Source organism: Homo sapiens, chromosome 18 (assembly GCF_000001405.40).
Source record: "Homo sapiens chromosome 18, GRCh38.p14 Primary Assembly".
In the NCBI taxonomy this organism is placed as follows: domain Eukaryota; kingdom Metazoa; phylum Chordata; class Mammalia; order Primates; family Hominidae; genus Homo; species Homo sapiens.
Window position 1 is genome coordinate 9939601 of NC_000018.10, and position 26349 is coordinate 9965949.

The window sequence follows — 26349 nt, forward strand, 5'->3', positions numbered from 1 at the left end:
TGCTGATTCCATCCTTGTGGTGCTATTTAACCTTTTTTCCCTGTCCCTGGTATTTCCTGTGATCGAAAGTTTGAAATGAGTGGTTCTTATCCAGGGGCAATCGATTTGCTCCTCTGGGGACCGTGCTTGGAAACATTTTTGGTTTTCACAACTGAGAGGTAGGTAAGGGTGCTACAGTTAACCTGTTTAGTGGGCAGAGGCCAGGGATGCCTTTCAACTTCCTGTGATGCACAAAACAGCCTCCACAACAAAGAATAATCTGGCTTAAAATGTCAGTAAAGTTGAGATTGAGACAGTATGACCTAGGTCTGTTAGTACATTTAAGATTGTCTGATGGTCATACTCTGTCATTCCTACTTCATACACTACTTACAATACTTGTGTAAGGAGAAACTTGTGCTTATGTAATATTTGGTTATTCAGTGGTAGAGTTTAAAAAGGCAGAACAAATGCCAAAGTTTCTCTTTAGAGGTTTTAAAAAATGAGTTGGTTTATAAGCATCCCACCTCGTGATGTACAGTTGATCTTCCACCTTCCATCCTTTCTTTCTTCCCTGCTTGCTTCTATATTGATAAAACTCATGAATTTAAACATATTTGAGTTTTAACTCTTGGTAGTTTATTATTATTGTTGATGCTCAAATTGCCTGGTAAGGAGACTTTTTAAATTGGTTCTTGAGTTTGTTTGACCCTCATAGTCTTTGGTAATTTTCTTGTCTAATGTGGCAAGATTTTTCCAGGTCCAGACCTGGAAAGAAGCTCAGGGCCATTTCAGTGGGAGATGGTATTTCACAACTATAATCGACCGGGTACCTGTGACAAAATTGATTTTTAATTTTATCAAACTTTCTGTTCATTTTTTTGACCAAGGTAAGAGTGGAGGCCCATTTTTCACTTGAAGGTGCTTCTTCAAATGGTAAAATTTTAATGATAAAACTGTGTCAGCAGCATATAGGATGATGTGGATCCTTTTATTTCTTGGGGTAATGATTGCATTTTATGGTTGGATTATGTTGGGTAATTCAAAATGTGCAAAATCCAATACTGATCCTGAGAAGAATGGGCGGGTACTTCTATGAACCAGCTGAAGTGGTGTTTCAATTACAGCAATACATAAATACAGCTTATGACTTTGATGGCTCACTGGCCTCGTCATTATGATTTTTGATGGATGTTTTTGAGTGTTTATAATTTACATTTCAAGTTTTACACATAGAATGAGACTTAAAGATTGTAATATATCACCATTTCAAATTTATGTAATTCAAACTTGCAAAAATTGTGTCTATACTATTTAGGCTGGAAGTGGCCTTAATTGATTAATGTGTATGTTAAAGAGAGGCTAAAACACAATTGTGTTTTTATAAGGCAGTATTTCCCAGTGTATTAGGTTGGAAGTGTTCTGTAGACAGGTGAGCTTGGAAAAATACTGTAAATGTCTCCAAGAGGAATCACATTGCGTATTTGCCTATTAAAGGCTCTGAGAAAACGTAACGGTAAAGAAATATATTTAACCCAGTATTTTTTTTTTAATTTAAAATAACCTAATTAACTTAGGAAATATCTGATGTTCTGAAAAAATATACTTTGGGAAATACTATTCCTGCCTAAACTCACTGTTGTAGTATTAACTACCCTGCAGATTGTACAAGAAATGTTACTTACTGAGAAATGTGTTTAAACTCAGTGCAACCTGGCACAGACCCAACTCCATCTGGGTTGTTAGTTGATTATGTGACTTTCAAGTTAATCAGTTTAATGTTGCATCTCATCTTTTACAGAAAATATGAAATCTTAAGGTACCAAATCTGAAGTCTTATGATAGTACAAAATATATAAGAAGTTTTTGTTTCTAACAATTAAGGATAAAACCTTTTATGTCTATCTAAAGATAAACAAAACACCTCTTAATATTTTATTCATGTGGTAATAAGACCCTATTGATAATTGTATCCTGCTGTTTCTAGGTCAATATTCTCTATAGACGAAGTTGATAAAACTGGTTAAAAAAAAAGTATCTTTGACATGTTGGTTTCTTTCTAGTATCTGTAGATAAAATTAGTAGTTAATATTCCTTTTCTTTGTTTAGCATGAAATTTGGCTCTTTGGAAATTAGGGCATTATTGGATAGTGTGATGCATAGATACAGTTTGTTAATTTACTTCAGATGAATTGATAAAATGCTGTATGATGCTGAATCCTGACTTACACAGTTGCTGAAATGACACTCCCTTATTCAAAGAAAATACATTTCTAAATGTGCAAGGTTAACAAAAATGGTTTGAAAACTGTTGGTGATGTATTTTTTAAAAGTATAGAGTAGAAAATATACTTTTTATCTTATAGTTATGATTGTGATATAGAGAATTCTTTGAGATCTTTTGACCCTTTATTTTAGTTTATTAGTATGTTGTAAAAAGTATGTTAACTTAAGCAAAATCAGTTCAGCTTTTAACTGCGTTGCTGGTAACAACTTAGTATTTAACGTAGAACTCTGTGGATGGCATTTGTATTTTTTTATTCAGCTTTATTTAGTGTTTAGAGCAGTGGACAAGTTCATAGGGGTTCCTTACACCTTTATTTTTTGTTTTAATATATGCATACATTATTAAATGATCACCACAGTCAAGCTAATTAACCTATCAATCACCTCAGATAAGCACCATTTTTATGGGTCACTTTATTTTAAAGAGTCGATCAAAATTTCATTTTTGGTAGTCAACTTAGAAAAATTTGGTTAGTGTTCAAAGCAGATTCTGCAATAGCTATCATAATTGTTGATGCACTCTCCTCAAATATTGTAGAGATAACAAGTCTTGAACTTTATGATTTTTTTTTAGTGTGTTTTAACCCCACTCCCTCACTTCCCCAGCCCCCCCTTCCTGTATCTCTTTGCAGAAAGAAGTACGCTGGTATTTAAGTACTGTATTAGTCTGTTCTCACATTGCTATAAAGAAATACCTGAGACTGGGTAATTTATAAAGAAAAGAGGTTTAATTGGCTTACAGTTCTGCAGGCTGTACAGGAAGCAGGGCGGCTTCTGCTTCTGAGGAGGCCTCAGGAAACTTCTAGTCATGGTGGAGGGCAAAGGGGGAGCAGATGCCTCACGTGGTGGGAACAGGAGCAAGAGAGAGCGAAGGGGCAGTGCTACACTCTTTTTAACAGCTAGATCTCATGAGAACTCTTATCATGGGAACAGTGTCATGGGGATGGTGCTAAACCATTCATGAAGGACCCACCCTCATGATCCAGTCGCTTCCCACCAGGTTCCACCTCCAACACTGGAGATTACAATTTGACATGGGATTTGCCGGGGGACACAGATCCAAACCATATCAAGTATGTTGTATGCGTATACCCCACTTGTGTGAGGATTTTGATCTTTTTATGGATGCTGTTAATTCTTGGGTGTTTACATGTTTGGAACACATGAAAAAAGAGTATGATGTTATTTTGTTGATTTCTTTAGACTTTTTAGGACCTTGATACTGGATATATAAGTAAGGAAATGATTGAAGGTTTGTGGTCATCTTATAGGGTGAAAAATGGAGCCAGCTTTAGAAGCACAGTGGCTTGAGTCCATGTTTTTATTTTTATAGTTTAAAAAATCATTTATTTGTGACAAAACAATTCTCATTTATTTGAACCATCACTAAAGTATGGGCTACTTTTTGGGAAATAGCTTTCTGATTTGGATCATAGATAAAGTGCCCCAGGAAACTTAGGAACCCTTTCATTTTAGAACAAAAAGACTCAATATTTTTTCCTGGATAACAAGCATAAGCAAATACCATCCTTAAGCACACTAAGATGTGTCATTACCCTAGTCCTCGGGATCAGCAGGTGTGTGCCAATACATTTCATTTTGTTAATGGCCCCTAGTGTCTTCAGTTGAGTTGTTGTCAGTGCTAGTACTGAAAGCCATTGAGCCTGTTCCCTGTATTGTTGACAGCTGGAGGCACATGATACGAAAGCGCTGTTGTACAAAATAGGGTTCTTTGAATTATTAGCTCTGTTTGGATTGTCAGCTCTGTATATACGTAATGTCCAATTAGTGGTAGTGGTTATTTTTTAAGGATCAAATGTGGTTTTATTATTTTTGAAGTTTTATGACCTATTCAGTTCTTTGTGTTCACTTCTAAAAAATTTTTGAGGCCTTAACTCTGACATTTTCTAAATTTCTTAAATGTATTGCATTTCATTTATGTCCTCCATCTGACATTTGAAGGTGACATATTTCCCTTTTTTTTTTTTTTTTTTTTTTTTTTTTTTTTTTTTTGAGACAGTGTCTCGCTCTGTCACCCAGGCTGGAGTGCAGTGGCGCGATCTCGGCTCACTGTAAGCGCCGCCTCCCGGGTTCACGCCGTTCTCCTGCCTCAGCCTCTCCGAGTAGCTGGGACTACAGGTGCCCGCCACCACGCCTGGCTAATTTTTTGTATTTTTAGTAGAGACAGGGTTTCACCGTGGTGTCAATCTCCTGACCTTGTGATCCGCCCGCCTTGGCCTCCCAAAGTGCTGGGATTACAAGCGTGAGCCACCGCGCCTGACCTTGAAGGTGACATATTTTCTAGAAAAAAATACTGATTTTTTTTAAATGAAGACTGAGGGGCTGTAAAGAACAGGGATTTCAGGGGTCTTATAAAGGGATTTCAGGGGTCTTATCATAAAATGGTTGAATATACATTATTTTCTGTTGAGACAGAACAAATGGGGTATCAGTAAGTATAATTAGGGAATCCCTTTCCCACCTGTTTGTATAATACAGTATTTTATCTATTAAAGGAATTTGAAAAGAAAGGAAGAGAACTATGGACTTAATGGTTATATGAGTCTTTAAGTGTTTATTGGCCTGGGATGTGTGTGAGAGAGTGAGTGTATTGGGGGATAGGCTTTAAGTACAAGAGAGGTTTATGAAATTGTTCAGATTGAGTGTTATCAAAGATAAGAAGACATACAAGTGCTTGTTTTTCAGATTATTGACAATTATTAATTAGTAAACATTAAAAGCCACAAAGAATTAGATGGTATTCATTTTAAAACAATGTAAGGCTGGCATAAATTTTAATAAAGTATGTACATTTAATAGGTGCATGTAATGCAAGTAGATTATAACTAATTTTGTTTGGGAAATACAAAAAGCGAGTTCAGAAACTACTTTTGCTTTAACATAGCTATTATTAGTATTGTTTCTTATGCATTAATGCATTTTTATAAAGTGTTAATGTTTAGAGCCTAATGCTTTCTGTGTCAGTCATTCCCAATATCATGCAGAAGAAATCAGAGTTCGGTGAGAATCTGAGAATATGTTTCCCATGCCATCTCAGGGTATAACTCCACCAGGGAATGCTCCGACTGTCACTTCAATGAGCAGCATCAACAACACAGTTGCAACACCTGCCAGTTATCACACGAAGGATGACCCCAGGGGACTCAGTGTGTTGAAACAGGAGAAACAGAAGGTTTGTTATAGGGAGTTAACAGACTTAGGAGTCTACTAGTGTCAATGGTTAAGTTAATGTAGATACCTAGCAGATAAGTGGTATTGTGAGTATGTTGTATGAAGTAGATAGAATTGAACTATGCCTAAAATTACAATAAAACTACAAAGCACTTAAAAATCATGCATACAAACTATTCTGTTCTAAAAAACTTCTGAACTTAACTAAAATCTATATAGTGAGCAGGACAGTATAAGTGTGAACATTATGAAGTTGCTGTAATTTTTTTCTTTGAGATTTGGGGAATATACTCTTTTTTTTTTTTTTTTTTTTTTTTTTTTGAGATGGAGTCTCGCTCTGTCACCCAGGCTGGAGTGCATGGCACAATTTCAGCTCACTGCAACCTCTGCCTCCCCGGTTCAAGGGATTCTCCCACCTCAGCCTCCTGAGTAGCTGGGAGTACAGGCACGTGCCACCATGCCTGGCTAATTTTTGTATTTTTTTGGTAGAGATGGGGTTTCACCATGTTGGCCAGGCTGGTCTCATTAAACTCCGACCTCAGGTGATCCACCTGCCTTGGCCTCCCAAAGTCCTGGGATTATAGGCGTGAGCCACCACATGTGGCAACCCCACAGTTTTAACAGATTGTTTATACTTTGATTTGGTTTTGCAGATGATATGCATACTAAGGCTTTAAAAAATTATCTAAATGTTTAATAATTTTTTGTTTTTGTGATTGGGAATTATTTACTTCTGGGAGTCATGATCCTAAAGAAACAGTAAATTGGCTGTTTAGAGTGGGAAAAAAAAACTTCAGGTAACTTTGTTACTTAAATCCTGTCTCTTAATTCATAGGTTAAGACCTTAATTTTGCCTCTCTCGGTTTATGACAGTACTCTTGACTTTAGCCTTTTAACTCCCTTTATGTGCGTTTTTATCCATCACTCCTGTTAGTTGTAAGAATGTAGGCCCACGTTTATGTCTTTTATCTCCTTTGTTCTTCCCAAGGCTTCTTTGCAAACTTTTTCTTGTATTTCCAATTCCTAGTTCCCTCTTTTTCTAATTAACCCCCAGTAAAAATACTTGGGATATTAGAACTGAAATTCTGATGGTTAAAAAAGAATACAGAAGTACAGTCATGCATCTGTTAAGGATGGGGATATATATTGAGAAATGTGTTGTTAGGTGATGTGTTGTATAAACATCATAGAGTGTACTTACAAAAACCTATATATGGTATTGCCTTTTGCTCCTAGGCTACAGACTTGTATAGCCTGTGGCTGTACTACAATGGTAAGTATTTGTGTATCGAAACAATCTACACTGAGCTTATTCAACCTGCAGCCTGCGGCCCACACGTGGCCCATGATGGCTTTGAATCCGGCCCACCTCAAATTCGTAAACTTTCTTAAAACACTATGAGTTTTTTTTTGTGTGATTTTTTTTTTTTAATAGCTCATTAGTTAGTGTTAGTGTTAGTGTATTTTATGTGTGGCCCAAGACAATTTTTCTTCCAGTGAGGCCCAGGGAAGCCAGAAGATTGGACACCCGTGACTATACACAGAAAAGGCGCAGCAAAAATATGGCATAAGAGATAAAATTGTATACTTGCATAGGGCACTTACTGTGAATGGATCTTGCAGAACTGGAAGTTGTTTTGGGTGGGTCAGTGAATGAGTGGTGAGTGAATGGGAAGGCCTAGGACATTACTGTACACTGTAGACTTTATAAACACTGTACACTTAGGCTACATTTATTAAAATTTTTTTCTTTAATCTTAGCTGTCCGTAACTTCATAAACTGTAAAATTAAAATTTTTGACATAAAGCACAAGCACAGTGTATAGATAAATAAAAATATCTTTTTAATGTCCTTATTCGCTGCCTTTTTCTATTTTTTAAATAAGATTTTTAAAAAAACTTCTTTTCTTAAGACTAAGACATAGCACACACATTAGTCTAGGCCTGCACAGGGGCGGGATCATCAGTATCACTGCCTTCCACCTCCACATCCTGTCTCACTGTAATGTCTTCAGGGACAGTAACACTCATGGAGCTGACATCTCCTATGTTAACAGTGTCTTCTGGAATACCTCCTGAAGGACCTGCTGGAGTCTGACTTAGAGTGTCCTTTTTGTTTTCGTAAGTAGAAGGAGTACACTCTAAAATAAATGATAAAAAGCATAACAGTAAATACATAAACCTGTAACATAGTCATTTATTACCAAGTATTCTGTATTGTACATAAATCATATGTGCAATACTTTTATATGACTGGAGTACAGTATGTATATTTACACCAGCATCACCACAAACGTGAATAATGTATTGTGATAAGACCTCACTAGGTAATAGGAATTTTTCAGTGCCATTATTATTGTATGGGAACACTATCATATGTATGAATCATTGTTGACCAAAACATCATTATACAGAACATGACTGGACAACTCAGATGGAGGATTACTGCAGATAGGCTAAATAATATAGTGGAAACTGGACAAGATTGGTTTATTGTTTTAGTTGATACACACCTTGACCTTCCAGCTTATTCTGAATTGCAGTGTTAAATGTAAGGTTACCATTCATCAATTTACTAAGAGTCACAGCATGTTGAATCTCTCTGGTGTGCTTGTTTCATGGTTCTCAGAACAACCAGTCTTTTCTTTCTGGACCAGTTTGAAGCAACTCTCAAGAAACAAGCTGTTTTATTGGAGCCAAACCTCACTAATAGAGGTCCTGGATGGAAGCATATACTTAAAGTTACACCTGCTTAATTTTTTCCATCAGGCTCTTCAGATTGTCACTCCATGCATGACTCAAAGCCCACCCTCCCATCACACTTCCCCCCATTACATATACATATATAGCATAACATATACATATGTAGCATATGTATATGTAAATAAATTAGATTTTCTTGCACCTGTTATGTATGTTCACTGGTTTGTAAGGGGCCTAGGTAGTATGTGATATAACTTATTGGGCACACTTTTGAAATGTGTTTCGGCTTCACTGTATTCTTTGCATTCTATTCTGTTTATGCTCCACATATTGGTTATCATTTCTTCTCCTTTTTGTTACAAAAGCAGTATAACATTTTTAAGAGAAATTCAACAACAAAAAAATCTAATTCTATTTGCTTAGATAAATTCTAATCTAATTCCAAGTCTAATTCTATTAGAATTAGAAAAATCTAAATCTAATTCCAATCTAGTTATCTTTTTATGGAATGTCTTCCTATGGACATGTTATTTAAAATTTGAAAGAATGGAAAGCTGCCCATCAAATGCTTAACAAAAGTGAAATGTTTAATTTTGGCAAGGCATAGAATAGAATATTTAATGACATGTCATTTAATAATAGTAATATAAATAATAGTTTTGTTGATTTGACAAGATTGTGAGAAATGACTTTTTCCCTTCCCTCCGTAATTTAAAATTTTATGCAATGTAAAGAATTTAAAAATAATCAGTTGTCGAGCTTGATGATTCTTTTAGTTTTTTTTCTCTTTGGTGTTGACCCCATGTATATCTTTTTTTCCCCCTTTTGGAGATAGGGTCTCACTCTCACCTGGGCTGGAGTGCAGTGGCACGATCTCGTCTCATTGCAACCTCCGCTTCCTGGGCTCAAGCCACCTCAGTCTCATGAGTAGCTGAGATTACAGGTGCACACCACCATGCCTGGCTAATTTCTAAAATTGTTTTTTGTAGAGACAGGGTCTCCCTCTGTTGCTCAGGCTGTTCTTGAACTCCTGGGCTCAAGCAGGCCACCCATCTCGGCCTCCCAAAGTGTTGGGATTACAGACATCAGACATGGTGCCCTGCTTCATCCTCTTTAAGTTTTTATCAGTTTTCTGGTATGAGTATGATACTTTTTCCCAATTTTTAACCAAAACCTGAAAGTTCTTCTATTGCCATATTGGTGGCCATTGCCACCTCCTTTATAGAGTAAGTCAGTGTGCCAACCTCATTATCAGAAGTTGGATTTGTGCTAGGATAGAATTTGACCACACTGAAAATCACAAATGAGTTCTAACTACTATTAAGGAAAAGAACAGGAAAAAGTATTGGCAGGGTAAAATATATCTGAAACAGTTTTTTAATAATAGGGGCGGCTATTATTAGATTGGTTGGGGTGGGAGAAATGGGGGTGAAGAACAAAAAAGCTAGCAAGAGAAAAACTCAGAGAATTGAAGTAGGCTGCTTTAAAACGTTGCTTAACTGGGAAGCTTGAAGAAGAATGGAAGAGTCTGCCGACAGGTCACATACATGCTGTTGTTCATTAGAACCTCATTATAAATTTTCATTTTTAAATAGATTTTACATGGATTTAGGCATACTAATCAAATCACATCCCCTTCATAAGAATAACAAGTTTTGCCCTTTGAACAATCTGTTTATACTTAATATAAAATTGGCAGCTGGGATGGTGTGGTAGGTGTGCAGCCTCTGATAAATCTTATAAAATGAGTATTGTGGAATGCCATAAAGTTGATTTAGTAAATGTCTTTTTTAGCAGTTTATAGCTGAATAAAGCAGATTTTACCTAAAATTATTTTAAAGTAAGTGAATTTAATTAAAATGAAAAAAGCTTGTTACACTAATACTGCTACGATGTGTGGTGACATAAATGCTGTTGGAGTGAAGGATGTTGGGGTACTTTAGACAACGGGCTGAAGAATACATAGGTGCTGTCATAGATATTTATCTCCAGGCCTTCACTAGCTTCAAATGGTTCAATGTTGGTGAGGATTAAGATTTTGGGGCTCATAGTCTTCAAAGCATGCTAAGTGCTCCTGTGATGTTGAATCACGTGAATTAAAGCAAACAGCATTACTAAAGATGACAAATTAATAGAAGTTAGCTTTTCTTGGGCATGTTTTTTCTTAGGTAGTTTCCGATTTTATTGGAATGATTACGATAATATCCCCCTACCCCCCAGAACCTTATTTGAATTGCACAACCAGAGCACGGAAAATGACCTTCAATGGATTTTGTTGACGTCATTCAGCATACTTTCATTGAATAACTACTCTTGACCAAAGTGCTGGTTTTAGGGGTAAATACAAAGAGAGATGGCTCTTGCTCTCTCAGCCTTTGAAGTATTACAGGAAAGAACTTGAACAATAATTATTAAGATACATAATAAAGTGCTATGGTAGAGGTACGTGCCAGGGATTATGGGAATAGAGGGAGTGGGCTGGTTATTTAGACTAATCTGACTGCTGACATGTACTGATTTAGGCCTTTTAAAGAGTTTTTCATGAACAAAGATGTAGAATTTATATTGTTATTTGTTTAAAACCTGTAAGGAGATTTGGTTAGTTAAAAAATTCCCAATATCTTTGTAATGCAGAATGATATGGAACCTAGCAAAGCTGTTCCACTGAATGCATCTAAGCAAGATGGACCTATGCCAAAACCACACAGTGTTTCACTTAATGATACCGAAACAAGGAAACTAATGGAAGAGTGTAAAAGACTTCAGGGAGAAATGATGAAGCTATCAGAAGAAAATCGGCACCTGAGAGTAAGTTCTGTTGGTTGAAAATAAATTGATTGAAATGAAGGTATAGGACATGTGAGTGTTATTAGGCCATTTTAGCAATTAGCTTTTAAATTTTTGCTTGGTCAGTTCTTTCTTCTTTGCCCCAGTGCCTTTGCTCCCCACCCTACTCCTCTTTTAACAGTCTTCCCGTGGTTTCTCATTGCTGCAAGTTCCTTACTTTAGCACACATTCTAATTATTTGTGATCTGGCCTGCAGTATTGCCAGCTTCTGCTCTTGTTTCTCATGTCCTTCCCATTTTGTGCCCTAGTCATACTGAACTGCCTAGGATTGTGTTGTCCCACATCATAGCCATTAGTCACCTAGGGCTGTTGAGCACTGAAATGGGATTTGTTCAAATTGAGCTGTGCTGTTGAGTGTAAAATACTGATGTTGAAGAGTTAGTACAGAAAAAGGTAAAATCTTTTTTTTTTAATGGTTACATACTGAAATAGTAGTTTGGGTATATTGGGTTGAATCAAATATATTATTAAAATGAATTTTACCCATTTCTTTTTACTTTTTAAATGTACTGTTGGAAAATTTAACTTTACATACGGGGCTCACATTTGAAGCTCACATTGTATTTGCGTGGGGCAGCATTGGGCTGGAGTATGCTGGAGAAGCATCTGTTTATCACCCCTCTTTGCTTTAGTGTAAGCTCTTCACTGTGACTGGAAAGGCCCAGAACCCTGCCCCTCCCGACACAGCACATACACACATTGACGTTTTGCTACTACAGCATATAGCCTTTGCTGGGACCCTCTCCAAAAGAAGAAAAAAATCGATTTGTCATGTCTGCTTTGTGCCTCCACTATGCTGATCGCCTTCTACTGCTCTTACTTGTTAGAGGCCTTTCTCCCTCTAGTGGGCAGTAATTGCCTTGGTGGCAAGGGCAGTGCTTCATTTATCTCTGCATTCACCATACATGCATGTGGTAGTCATTCATGTATTTGATTGAATTAAATGGATGGCGAAGGAGGACTGATTTGAATATGTCTGAAATTTATGAATAATTTGTCTTTGACAAGTAATTACTTGTTTCAAGACCTAAATACCTATACGTTGCTCTCTAGGCTTTGTTTGAAGCTCTTTGCAGCAAAGTAGATGATACAAAAATGTATGTAACTAAAATAAGCTAAATGATGGGAGTTATTTGATTATTCCTTTTGTTAGGTGTATGTAGGAACTACACTCTAAATTAAAGGCACTGTGTTTTAAGTCGATCTGTGAACTCCTTTGCTGAAATGCTTTTTAAAGTGAATTTTTGTGTCTCTTCATGCTTGATGTTTCATAGTACCCCCTCGAGGGGTACCCGTCTGCTTCCAAGCACTTGTCTGGGTAGCGGAAAGAATATCTTTATTTCACACCTACACGCCATGGATCTTTTAAAGGATGTTGTTGGTTACTTTTACTTCATCTGCCATGACTTCCATAGTTCTGTTCTTTGATAAAGATGTGCTCCTTAGGGTGCTCAATAGATTTCTTTCAAAAGCCACTGTTTACCTCTGGCAGGGAGGGGAGAAGTGGAAACAGTGAGAATGACATAGATGGGGCAGGGCTGGAAAATAGGAAGAGTGAACCAGGGAAGTAGGTGAGAGAGACTTTATTCCTGGTTTCTACTCTTTTTATGCTAGTGTTCTGTATGAGATTTTATTTGAGAGATGATTCTGCTGCTGGAAAAGTAAAACAAAAAAGCTGGGCTGGGCGGGTGGCTCACACCGGTAATCCCAGCACTTTGGGAGGCTGAGGCGTGTGGATCACCTGAGGTCAGGAGTTCCAGACCAGCCTGGCCAACGTGGTGAAACCCCGTCTCTATTAAAAATACAAAAATTATCCGGGTGTGGTGGTGGGTGCCTGTAATCCCAGCTACTTGGGAGGCTGAGGCAGGAGAATCACTTGAACCCAGGAGGCAGAGGTTGCAGTGAGCGAGATCACGCCATTGTACTCCAGCCTGGGTGACGAGCAAAACATCGTCTCAAAAAAAAAAAAAAAACAAAACCCTTGAAGACCCACTGGCTTACAGAATTTCAGACCCTATACACAGGCCCACCATAATTTTTTGCCAGGTTCACTTTCTTGCTCCTGTCTGTTCACTATCCCTTTTAATTCCCCTAGCCCTGTGGTTCTTAATTCACACTGCATGTGAATCACCTAGTGAGCTTTAAAAAGTTACAGTTGACCAGGCTTGCCCCAGACCTAATGAGTCACAATCACAGGAGTATTAAAAGTTCTGTAGATGTTTGTGATGTGTAGCTGAAACTGAGAATTACTGTTTATATAGGACTAATTAGCATGAGACCAAAAAAACCCAACTCCAGAAAATCCAGTAATGCAAATAAAACTGTGCCATTAGGTGTACTCTTTTAGTTAGTGTTTATTTATAAGCACAATAAAGGAATCATGGGAGAAAATATTGCCTTGTACTGAAAAAAGTAAAAAACTGTCCTGCCATTTATCAGATTGGTTAACAGACAGAGATAAAGACAACTGTGTAGTTAACAGGTATTAGTATTTTTCCCAAGGTTCACATTGCACACAGTGTCATAACAACCTCCTGCTTGGAGTGACTTCTGCTTTCTTCTGAGAAACCTTCTGCTCTAAAGACATAGTGCTGTGTGAAGCCATATCAGCAAGAATGAAGCAGCCTACTCTTGACTGGAGGATCTAAGTCATTTTGACACAGAGAAGCACCCTCATTTTCCAGTCCAGGTGCAGAGCTTCAGATAAGGGTTTCCTATGTACATTTCTCATCTAAATTTGTAGTTTCTGAAGAAACAGTATTCTTTCTCTGCTTTGCAGTCGAGACCTGGTGCTACCACTTTACACACAGCCCTCTGCTTTGCTTTGAGCATATAAAAACACTGTTACTTAAATTTCACGCTAAACTGTTTCCTTCCCCCAAATTCTGTGATACCATATCTCTGTTTACGGCAAGAACACCCTTTTGTGCCTCTGCTGTTCCGGTTCCTTAGTTGCAGTGTGTCAGTAAACCCAAATGGCAGACTACAGGTCTGGGTAGTTTTTGGCTGATTGGGCTAGGACGGATGTAACTGATTTTAAATACCATGGGCCACCTTGGAAGTACTCTTCTTTAATTATATTTTTAGTGGGATTTAAAAAAAGGTAAATATAGCCTATCTAACTTTTGCTTTTTAGGAATACATTTCTCAGCTCCAGTTTTAAAAAATCAGTGTTATTGAGGTATAATTTATATCCCATGGAGACACCCACTGTGAGTGTACAATTCATTGATACATAGAACTTTGTAACCATCACTATAGTTCAGTTTTAGAATGTCTATCACCCCCGGAAAGTTTCCTTATGTGGTTAGCAGTTAATCCCCTTTTCCGTCCCCAGCCATAGGCAACCACTAATCTACTTTCCGTCCCTATAGATTTTTAGCTCCAGTAGTCTCGTTAGTATGCTTGTTTTTAAAAACCTTTTGTGTGTGTGTTTTTTTTCTAGGATGAAGGTTTAAGGCTCAGAAAGGTAGCACATTCGGATAAACCTGGATCAACCTCAACTGCATCCTTCAGAGATAATGTCACCAGTCCTCTTCCTTCACTTCTTGTTGTAATTGCAGCCATTTTCATTGGATTCTTTCTAGGGAAATTCATCTTGTAGAGTGAAGCATGCAGAGTGCTGTTTCTTTTTTTTTTTTTCTCTTGACCAGAAAAAGATTTGTTTACCTACCATTTCATTGGTAGTATGGCCCACGGTGACCATTTTTTTGTGTGTACAGCGTCATATAGGCTTTGCCTTTAATGATCTCTTACGGTTAGAAAACACAATAAAAACAAACTGTTCGGCTACTGGACAGGTTGTATATTACCAGATCATCACTAGCAGATGTCAGTTGCACATTGAGTCCTTTATGAAATTCATAAATAAAGAATTGTTCTTTCTTTGTGGTTTTAATAAGAGTTCAAGAATTGTTCAGAGTCTTGTAAATGTTATTTTAATAATCCCTTTAAATTTTATCTGTTGCTGTTACCTCTTGAAATATGATTTATTTAGATTGCTAATCCCACTCATTCAGGAAATGCCAAGAGGTATTCCTTGGGGAAATGGTGCCTCTTACAGTGTAAATTTTTCCTCCTTTACCTTTGCTAATATCATGGCAGAATTTTTCTTATCCCTTGTGAGGCAGTTGTTGACTGAGTTTTTCATCCTTACAATCCTGTCCCATGGTATTTAACATAAAAAAAAATAAAACTGTTAACAGATTCTTGCTCGATAGCTTGTTTGTGTCTGTCGTGTTATTAGAGGGAACTCCACTATATATGGTCACTTGAAATTATGATGCAAAGGTTTCTCTTGCATTGAAACCCTCTTGGATATTACAGTATTTTTAATTGAAAGTCCTAATTCTGTTAAGGAAAGGAGTTGATTAAATTTTAAGGTACCACTGGTATTTTGGGAGATTATAATCAGTTTGTTTTCAAGATAATAGAAAATAAGGTCCATGAGAATAGAAGTTATGTGATTTCAGTGAGTTGATGTGTACAGCATGGCTGTGCTCCATCTGATTTACCCCATTCTTAAGTTCTGAGAGTATGTTCTCAAGGAAGATTTAACTCTCTTTGGTTTTAAATTACTTTTTAACCAGCCTAATAAATAAGTCTTACTACTTTTCATAATATTTCATAATAGTTAAAAGTAGGTGTTTTTTTCGTGCTCAATTTGGCACTCAAAATAATGTTCATTATGGAAGTTTGGTAATACTGAGCAAGCCTGTGGAATTTTCTTTATGAAAAATGATTTTAGCCTTTGCAAATGTTAACCATGTGAAACACATTTTCAGTATAAGTATGCGTTACAGGGTTTGATACTTTCCTGCACTTAGGTTTGTCCTATTCTTCATTTATTCATACTAGGATAGAAAATTTTGGAATCAGAAAATAGATCCAGTGTTTAGCTACATACAATCTAGTACAAGTGAATTTTTATTCTTAAACATAGGTGTGTTGGCTCTTTTTTTAAAAGATGCGCTCTACCTGAAAAGGAAATTGGATTTTAGAACTGGATGTGGTGCAGTGAAGTATTTTAGGCCCAGGTCTGTGTACACATTTTATAGAAGAATGAAGTACTCTGAAGTATTTTGGTTGCCTTTTCATTTCAACTGTGTTTTGAATTTGTCAGATCACACATATATTGTGTTATTGGGCGCTGTGGTATCTTTTATAAAACCTCTTGCTTGTGTGCAAAAGTTCCTAAAAGGAAACACAAGTAATGCCTATCCATTACTAGCATGCTATGCTGCATGCTTTACTGCCATTGCTGTATGCTTTACTGTCTTTGTAAAAATCCCCCTCTCCCCTTTTCTGGTAACTGGAAAAGCATGCTAAAAATAGTCTTATATTTTCACCCCATAAATGCAGAATCAGTAATTCCTTGGCTTAAAGCTCTTATATAATCAATATTATTGGTGGTAAATACCAAGTTTGGTATCTCATAGCTATCTTTTTTTAAAGAAATTAAGTTCTTGAAAATTTAGCCAAATCCCGTTTTATGGGAATGCTCTTTAGAATTCATTTTGTTCAGCCCCTTTGTTCTATGGTTGAGAAATCTGAGGCCTTACGAAGGTTAAGAGAACTTTCCCCGTGTCTCACAGGTAGGTAGAGGCAGAGCTGGAACTAGATATCTGGTCTGTTGACTCTAGCTCAGTGTCTTCTGGTAACTGTTGAAAATTGTCTTAGTTTGAGAGATGGCTGAAATAATGAACATAAAATGCTATTTATAATAACAAGTATATGTGAAATTTCTTATTGTAAGACTACTACCGGCTTACTGTTGAATAGTTTGGTTATAGTGTTTAGGCTAGAAATGCCTCCCACATTGGTAATAAACATTACAAAATACAATGTATTTTTAGGTAGGCATTTTATAAAATGCATTATGCCATGGTTGCTTTTGAGATAGATTGTAGTCTGGGTAGCATCTTTAAAATGTATGTGGGCTTAACTGTTGTTCATATCAGGAGATGCTCTGATTGTATAGGTGAGACTCTGTTTCTGTTATTTTTAATTGCTGTATGAAATGTGATCAGATTATTTTACTACCAACAGTTATAGTTTGAAAGTCCAACTGTATTAATTGACTGATAATATGATAATATAGAGATTAAATTGTTTGTCTTCATTCCTTATATGTTTAGAAGTTTTTGCTTTGTCTGCCTGCTTACTTGTATATGTAAGCATGAGGGAAATACACTGTTGCTAATACTGAAATTACAATCAAGTAACTAAGGCCTTGAGTTCATATGTGACACTGAATGCACTAGCTTCCTTCGTTCTATAACTAATGTACCTTAACTTCCCCCATTCTTATATTTACAAGAAGCTAAGTCATTATGTTCTGAGTGTGTGGTATGTTCCCTTAAAAAAAAATGACACTTGGAAGAAAAATGTATGAAATTCAGAAATTCCGATCAAAGAAAAGTAATTCTTTCTTTTTTTTTTTGAGACAGAGTCTTGCTTTGTTGCCCAGGCTGGAGGGCAGTGGTGTGATCTCACCTCACTGCAGCTTCCGCCTCCTGGGTTCAAGTGATTCTCATGGCTCAGCCGCCTGAGTAGCTGGGATTACAGGTGTGAGCCAACAAGCCCGGCTAATTTTTGTATTTTTAGTAGAGACAAGGTTTCACCATGTTGGTCAGGCTGGGCTCAAACTCCTGAATCCGCCTGCCTCGGCCTCCCAAAGTGCTGGGATTACAGGTGTGAGCTGCCGCACCCAGCCAAGAAAAATAATACTCTTAAATACTTAGATGTTCACCTAAAGTTGATATTATTTGGTATGGGAATTACTTTTGAACTGTAATCTTTCAGATTACACCACTTTGAAAACAAGTTTTAACAGTAGGGTAAAAATATAGTTTTTGAGGGTATTCCCAACTTGTGATCTTCTACCACTTTAGAGACATTCAAGTAATAGTTTTCTTAGAGCTTTGCACATTCCTATTCACTGAGATTTTAAAAATTTCACCTTTATTCGAGGGAAGGATCAATGCTTATTACCATTTGGAAAAACGAAGATCAGAAGGTAAATGATCTTTATTTTCTAGCTTTAAAGGGAAATTAAACCATTCATGAATAAACTTTAAAAATGTGAAGTGTCCTTTTCCTTTTCACAATACAAAAAAAATTTCAACAGATTGTGTGGTTTGTGCATTTATATCCTGTTAAGCATTAATAGCTAATCACTGGGACTTGAATTCTGATGGCAGATAGTCTCTTGCTTAGTGAGATGGAGTTAACTATTTTTTAGTAGGAAGTGAGAACAGCTGATTTTCATGCCACGTTTCATAGCCCCACTTTTGGTAGACTACCACCACGCTTCTTCGCGTAAGCAGTGGCATCTTGGGAATGAATGCCCAGCCGCTCGTGGGTTGGTGCAAAGAAGTATAAACATATATCACTAAGGAAAAAGAAAGTTTGTCTTGCCCTTCTGACACAGTGTGTGCACTTCAGGCAATTTTTGGAAAATATAAAAAATTCCAAATTCTGCCTTTCAGCAGCATCAATTGCTAGGAACATTTCATTCATTTCCCTGTAATATTAATGTTCTTTAAGCATAATCACTAATTATAAGTTGTATCCTATTTTTTTCCAGCTTAATTTCTGTGGTTTATTGAAAACCAAGTATAAATGTGACTAAAAGCATTTTGCTTTGTTTTTATAGTTAACTTTCTTAAGGTTATGGACATTTTATAATGTAACATTTGATTGGCCTGGCCTCTTGACAATTCCCTTCTAGTTATGCATATCCTCCTGTTGCCACATTTCTTGTTTTAAAACTCAGTTTCTTGTTTTCCAGTTGTTGCTATGTATAACACCCATCTTGAAAGAGAGTATATAGGAAGTTATTCAGATAACTTTTGTAGTAGTGATATTCAACTATAGCAGTACCTTAACTCATGATGAGCTTAGGAACATAAAAGATAATTGTTGCTTGAATAGCACCCCCAGAGATACTGACCTAATTGGTCTGGGGTGGAGATCTGGCATGGTAGTTTTTTTCAAGCTCCAATCATCGGCCAGACAGTTGCTTTATGTAGGTTTTTAAATGCCAAAGGCAGATATGAAGTAGATTTAATTAAGACTTGACTTCAGCAATACAGGGGAACTTAAAATACTTATTTTTCTTTAAACTGCAGGAGTCACTGTTAGGTATTGCTTAAAAAAAATTGCATAAAAGCTTTGCTTGTCAAGTTAGGATTGCTGGAATACCACTAAAGATTTTTGACTTGTGAATAAATGAGCTGTCATCGCAAAAAGGCGATTTGAGAAATGTGGGCTTCAGTATTAATTGCCATTTTGCTGACACCCAGTGTACCTACCTACCTGAGAAATTTATTTTGTCCATCATGTATTTCTCAAAGCAAAAGGTGGTTTTCAAGTATAATGTCGTTTTCAACATGCTTATTACTTAGTTTTACGTCAGCTCATTTCATCATCATTGATAACTTGTGAAATACTTATCTCCATCCTATGGAATAGGGGAGACGGGTTTAGACAGGTTCAATTAGCTCAAGTCTACACAGCTGAAGTAGCAGAGAAAGTGGGATCTAGATGGTCTGATCCTAGTGATCTACCATATGAAGGACATAGTTTGTGTCCTGGTCCAAGTCAAATATTGACTCCTCACAAACAGTAAGTATGGCAATTTTGTGATGCCTTTGATTCCACTTTACATGGAGTACTATTATTTGTGAAATGTCTTTAAGATTTTTGGTCTTAAATTTTTGAAGACTGCTTTCCCCCTTTATCTCCCAGAAAATTGAGAAGAAGTAAACTCCTGCCCACTAACAATCTCAGTCCGTGAACAAAACCAACATGAACATTCCTAAACAAGAGTGTGTGTTACTCTAAGAAGAAGGCTATAGAATTTATGGAAATGGCTTATGTAACCTACAAGACTGGAGAACAGAATGTGACTGGCCTTTTCTAATGGTCCTTTAAGATTTAATGATTAAAGCAAGAGTTTTTTATAATTGACTTTGTGGTCTAAATTCTTGATACTGTTTATAATTCTACAAAGAACAAAAATTGTTATGTACTATAGGCACTTAAGAACCCTGAGGAAAAATAATACAATGTGTGTGTGTGAGAGAGAGAGTGAGTTACTGACATTGTTCCAAAAAAAAAAAAAAAAAAAAAAAAAATGTGGAGGGTTGAAATGGTAAGGAATTGGAATCTTTTGTATTTTCGAGCAATAAGAATTCCTATTCTTGTTTCAAATAGAGGTTTGTTAGGAATTACAGTTGTGGGGAGCAAACTTTCTTTTTTGTGCTGTTTTAATTCAAAATGTATATCCTTAATTGTATATAATATGTAGATAAATATATGAGGGTATTAAGCTACTTTGAATTAAATTTAAGGATATATTTCACATGAAAACAAATACAAACGAGAATCAAAATAAAGTTTTGCAAAGTATTTCTTTGGGTGCTTTTGTGTACTTTGCCATTGAGCAAATTTTATGAAGTTATTGGGATATTAAGATTTTCTTTTAAAAGTTAAATGTTTAATCAAGTAAATTATCTCTGCAAGGGAGACATGTTCTTGTACACTGGGACTCCCATAGAATCCCTCAGCTGGAGGAGTTTCCCTATGCATGTTTTAAGAAATTATGGAGATTATACATTCTGCAATGAAGGAAATGCCTTAAGAGCCTTAATTTTGAATTGGACCAAGTGGTTCCTTTCTAAGATAGGTGGTGAGTAGAACGGGTATTTCAGGGAGAGGAGTATATTGGCATATGTACTTAAAGGTTCCCGATGTGAACTTTAAGGTGGTAGAAATTTGTGTTCATTGTTATAACATTTGCATCACAAGGTGATGGGGGGAGATAACAGCTACAATAGTATTTGCATTGAGTAGTTAACAAGCCTGTCACATCTATGCATTTGAGGAAGTAGTGCAAATGTTTTCAGCAAATAATGTTTAAACTGCTTAAATATGTAAATAGTTATTTCCATCCAATACTTTGATGTCTAACTCCAAGACAGTACTTTGGAGATACCAATAGCAAATGAAGTTTTACATTTTCATAACGTGTTTCCCATACCACAGTAGTATGGAGATGAGGTGGCTTTAGAATAGTGTTTCCTTTTCCCTTTGCTTTGATTTTTTTCCTTACGAAGTTTCCCCAGCTTTGACACATTATTTTTCCGTATTTGGTTTAGAGCCTAGATATGATTAAAGCCACCTTTATGCCCTTCCCTGTCCACATTTTCGTCTGTCAAACCACGAACCTGAAATTTTTGTCCTTCTTTTGTTTCAATGTTTTGCTGCCTGTGTATGTAATTATATAATCAGTTTTATAGTGTATTTTGCATGTTTTAAAATGCCACGTAGCTGTGTATCTTAGATGATTATTTGTCTAGCTTTACCTTCACCTAACATTTTTTACACCCCCAAACTTCCACCTAATTCCCTTGGGGTTTCTCATGCGTTTCATGTACTAATATATTGTTTTCTCCTTTGAGTAGCAGCTTGGACCCATTGTAGTGACTTTCCGTTGCTGCCAGGGCTAGAACTGAAATTAGCACACCAGTCTCTAGCAAAGGCTGCTGAAGCCTATTGATGATTGCAGCAATGCTGCCACTGCCTGATGTTAGCACAGAGTCTGTTGATCGGTCTGGCACAGATGTAGTTGACATCACTGAAAATCTCAGCTCTTTCCTGAATCTCTTGTGGTTTGTTCTAGGACTCAGACATCAAGTCTGGCCAGAAGACAGTTGTTGAGACAAATGTTGCCCTAAAAGCCACTTGCTACATGTGACTGTACATAGTAACACATAATTTTAGAAGGAAAACGAGTCTAGGGGAAGAGAGATGAGGTGCTTTAAGCACATATGTGGAATCTTCAGGCTGCTTGCACATCCACACTGTTTCTGCATGCGCTGCAGAGTGTGTGTGTGTGTGTGTGTGTGTGTGTGTAAATGGAGAAATGGCACAAAGTCTGGCATTTTTTTTGAAAATTCAAGATTTGGAACAAAGGTCTTGCATTACCACATGGCAACAATTTTCTGGAGCCAAGTAGCAGTTTCCCCTGTAATTCCCATCACTTGTTTTATACTCCGTTTTACTTGTTACCTGCATGATCAGTGTATTCAGCTGAATTTGTGACCCCTGATTTAGACACTAATCATGTATTATAAATACTGAGTACTTCTATATTGGGTACAGGTTGGAGTGGGGGGTGTAGGGTAAGATTATACCAGATTGAAATATTGGGATATGGGCTGGATCCTGTTGTCAGGAGGCAAAACTAGTTAAGCACTTGTACCTGGTCAACAGATAATTGGGCCCAGAATGTCCAAAACATTGTAAACTGAAATAGGCTAAAGTTTGAAGAGCAGTAACTGTAGAGTACCTATTATATGTCAAGTACTTTACATATATTTTATTCTCAGAATAACCTTTCAGATTTATTATTTATTTATTTTTAAGACGGAGTCTCGCTCTGTCGCCCAGGCTAGAGTGCAGTGGCGCCATCTCCGCTCACTGCAAGCTCCGCCTCCCGGGTTCACGCCATTCTCCTTCCTCAGCCTCCCGAGTATCTGGGATTACAGGCGCCCGCCACCACGCCTGGCTAATTTTTTGTATTTTTACTAGAGACGGGATTTCACCATGTTAGCCAGGACGGTCTCTATCTCCTGACCTCATGAACCTCCTGCCTCTGCCTCCCAAAGTGCTGGAATTACAGGCATGAGCCACCGCGCCCGGCCACCTTTCAGACTTTTGAAAAACACAGATGAGAAGCACTTGGAGAAATTCACTGTCCAAACTTAACGGTCTTGGACAAGTCTGGGCCCTTCATCATACCATGCTGCCTTTAGGGAAAAAAGGGGGTGGGAATGACGGTGAAATTGATCTAATGATGTTTAATTCAATAAAAACGAGAACTTACTTTGGTCTCAGTCACTTTTGAGAGTATAAAATAATTTTTTTTTTCTGGTTTTGAAAATCTCAACATCAAAGAATAATATGCCTAAAACTTAATTACCTAATACACCGTACTAGTGGCTAGAAGTTGGCATGTGGCTGCAATATGGTTTCAGAATACAAGCTTTTTGAAATTCAGGCTCTTCATAGCCCACCTGTCAGCAAGTTAACCTAGATTTTTAGCTACGTCAATGGCCTTTAGCGTTATAGTTCCAAATATTAAGCATGAGAGAACCTTGGCAGGAAAGCATTTCAAAGTGGTATGAGTCTGGATGCTGAAATGGGATTGTGGGTTATAATTCCGGCTCTGTCAGTTTACTAGTTGTGACCTTGGGCAGTTTTATTTCTCTCTTGTCCCAGCTTCCTCTGTAAACAGGGTAATAACTATGCCTGTTCATTGGATGTGGAGGGGATTAAAGAAGTACAGCTCTTAGATCAGAACTTGGCACAAAGCAGATGCTCAAGAAATGGTAGCAGTTATCGTATATGTCCATATGAAGTGGAAAATTGGGAAGCTGTCTGATTATTTGGGTTAAAAATTAATATATCTGGACAATGGGTATTTGGCTTGAAGTTTTATTTTTGAAGTCATTAACCAGGTCCGCAGCTGCAGGCATTATCTGTGTTAGGCAACAGCCTTTTATTGAATGCTGGTAGAGGGGCAGCAGGACAAACAGTGTGGGTTTTGGAGGATAGACAGACTTGAATTTGGATCTCAACTCTGCCATTGGCTAGAGACGAACCCTGGAACAACTATGGAACCTCTTTGAGGCGTAGCCTCCTCATCAAGGACACCGTCTGATTTTTACACTCCTCTTTTGTAACTTTGTAAGGTTGTGGTGAAGACTGCAAGATATTTTAAAAATTACGTTTTTACTCTGTTCTTCAATCATATTGAACATGATATTGGGATAATTAAAATTTTTTAAATTTAATGGTAAATTTTAAAGCTTAATGGTAATGAATACTCTTGAGTTAGAAAATGTAAAAATACTGTAAGGGTGGAGGCATTCTTGTAGGTGAGCAACCTGTGAGTGTTAAGAATGATGCATTTCTTTGTTGGTTCTTTTTTTCTGCGTATGAAGGTAACACTAGTGGATTATAGAGGTTTGGAAATGATAGAAAAGTATATAGTAGAAAAAAGTTCCAATATCTCACTTCCCAGAGATAACTTTTTAACAGCCTTTTTAATGCCTAGGAGCATAGCAGAGATTTTATATATATGTATACAATTAGTATAAATATTAATTTATACTAATAAATAAAAATCAACATGGTTAATTGATTTAACAAAATTAAAATTCATTTTTTACCTGGAAATAATTTTTGAAATTGTTGTAAGAAAAGGTGTAAGAATAGTAGACACCCATTCTGCCTCACTGCTTTATTGTTGATGCTTCCTCCTTGCCCCCTCCACATTATAAGTACATATACATTATATGTGCATACATGCATGTTCATATATACATATGCATGCATTCATGTACATGTATACATGTACACACATGTACACATTCACATGTGCATATATACCTATACACACATATACCCACATTTTCTCAAAACCATCCAAGAGTAAGTTGCATATATCATATTGCATGCTACTGGGGAGGCTGAGGTGGGAAAATTGCTGAGCCCAGGAGTTTGAATTAAGATTGCACCACGGCACTCCAGCCGGGCAACAATGACACCCTGTCTCCATCAATCAAAGACATGCATATATTATCCCTAACTATGTCAGTGTGTATTTCCTAAGGTAAGGTTCCCTTACATGACCACAGTACAGTTGTGAACTTCAGCAAATTGAACATTGATACAGTTTTTTCCCCCAAATCTACTGTCCGTATCCAAATTGACTAAATAATGTCATTTATGGCATATTTCCCCCTCCAGTACAAGGGTTGGTCTGGGGTCACATGTTGTATTTAGTTGTCAAATCTCTTTAGTTTCCTTGAATCTGAAATAGTTCCTCAGCCTTTCTTTGTCTTTTATTACATTGATGTTTTGAAGAATGCAGTCCCTGCCTCCTCCTTTGGGCTTTCTTTGATGTTTCCTCAGTAGACTCAAGTAATAGATTCTTAGCCTGATTGCTACAGAAGTGGCACCATGTCCTCCTCAGGGTATCATGTCCACTGGCACATGAGGTTCCCCTGCCCCTCATTTGTGAATGAAGACCCAGCTGAGGGCTGGGAAAGAGGAGGACTCACGCTGAGGTGAAGACTTGAATCAGATGGCCTGGCTTTGAATTCTGGCTTTGCCTTGTAATCTTGGGCATGCTTTCAACGTTGCTGTCTCAGGTTCTGCATCTGTAAAAAGGGGATTTAAGAAAGTGTACTGATACACACCTCATAAGGTTGTTATTCGATTAAATATACCTAGAGTGTTGAAAATAATTACTGGCACAAAGTTAACACCATATGAGTGCTAGCCATCATTATTGACACTGATTCTCTCTACAATATAATCATTACCATTCTTTTTGAAAAATTAATAGTCTGAAGTGCTGAAATGCCAAGTGCGTTGTTTAAGCTCATACAGGTAGGATACCAAGTCTCATGAAGCTAAATACTGTGCTGTCCTGTTCATATTTTTATTTGATTTTTGCAAGATCCATTGTAAGCACACCTAATTTCTATGGGATAGGTCAGAAAGACCCCAGGAGAGTGTCTTCTTGTGTTATGGTGGGAAAGCCTCTGGGAGGTAAGTTGGGAGCTGCTCTCCGCCTCGTCTGCCTAGAGAAGTGTATGCTGTGGAGGTGGCTCTGTGCCATGGAGAAATGGAGCAGAATTTACTCCTGTAGTGTTCAGCTATCACCAGGCAAAACATTAATTTTATTTGGATAAATCAGAACATCTGTGGATATTTGGAGCTTTTTAATGTAAAAATAGTGCTAATTTTTACATTTTCAAATAGACTCTCAGGCATTATGATAAAATTTGAAGTTTCTTTTTATATAGGTGATTTTCAAGTGTGCTTGCACAGAACTGTGACACCTGGGGACCTGCATATTCCTTTCTTCTTTTCCATTTTTTGATGAGACTTCCTTTCTGCACATTAGAACAGGTAAAAGGAACATGGTGTCAAAAGCAGCCTAATTTCACTCTTCTCATTTGCTCAGACACAACTGATCTAGATTTCTAACAATGCCAGTTGCCTTATTTTGGGAAACAATTTGGAGTTAACAGGGATTGTATTCCATTGATTTGCTAGGGGGAGACCCCAGCAATGTGGAAACCATTCTAAAATGTGAGGAATATGTATTAGCGGTATGTAAGTGACTGTCCACAAGAGGTAGTAAGGAATTGCAGGAATGCTACCTGCTTATGAATGTTTTCTCACCAGGCTACAAGGACAGCTGTTCCCCTGCCTGGCTTGACTCCCCTCTCTAGAGCAAGTCATGAATGGGTTAGGACA

At 37.2% G+C, this 26349-nt stretch overlaps 1 protein-coding gene across 8 annotated transcripts in view, besides 1 other annotated feature; it reads left to right on the forward strand.

Moving 5' to 3' along the window:
• Positions 1-20421, forward strand: part of VAPA (VAMP associated protein A) — a 46006-nt gene extending 25585 nt beyond the window's left edge. For 5 of the 8 annotated variants that reach the window (NM_003574.6, XM_047437929.1, XM_047437930.1 and 2 more), the window contains 3 exons: positions 5324-5458; positions 10795-10968; positions 14453-20421. In NM_003574.6, the coding sequence (NP_003565.4) occupies positions 5324-5458; positions 10795-10968; positions 14453-14611 (468 nt within the window). In that variant the 3' untranslated portion in view covers positions 14612-20421. The remainder of the gene's footprint in view (positions 1-5323; positions 5459-10794; positions 10969-14452) is intronic. The other 3 variants (NM_194434.3, XM_047437932.1, XM_017026079.2) reach the window with 1 other exon arrangement.
• Positions 20575-21093: an enhancer, noted in NCBI's record as "NANOG hESC enhancer chr18:9960172-9960690 (GRCh37/hg19 assembly coordinates)". NCBI's record gives its function as "activates a minimal SCP1, AML or CMV promoter by ChIP-STARR-seq in primed H9 embryonic stem cells {active_cell/tissue: H9 hESC(primed)}" and the evidence as "EXISTENCE:reporter gene assay evidence [ECO:0000049][PMID:30033119]".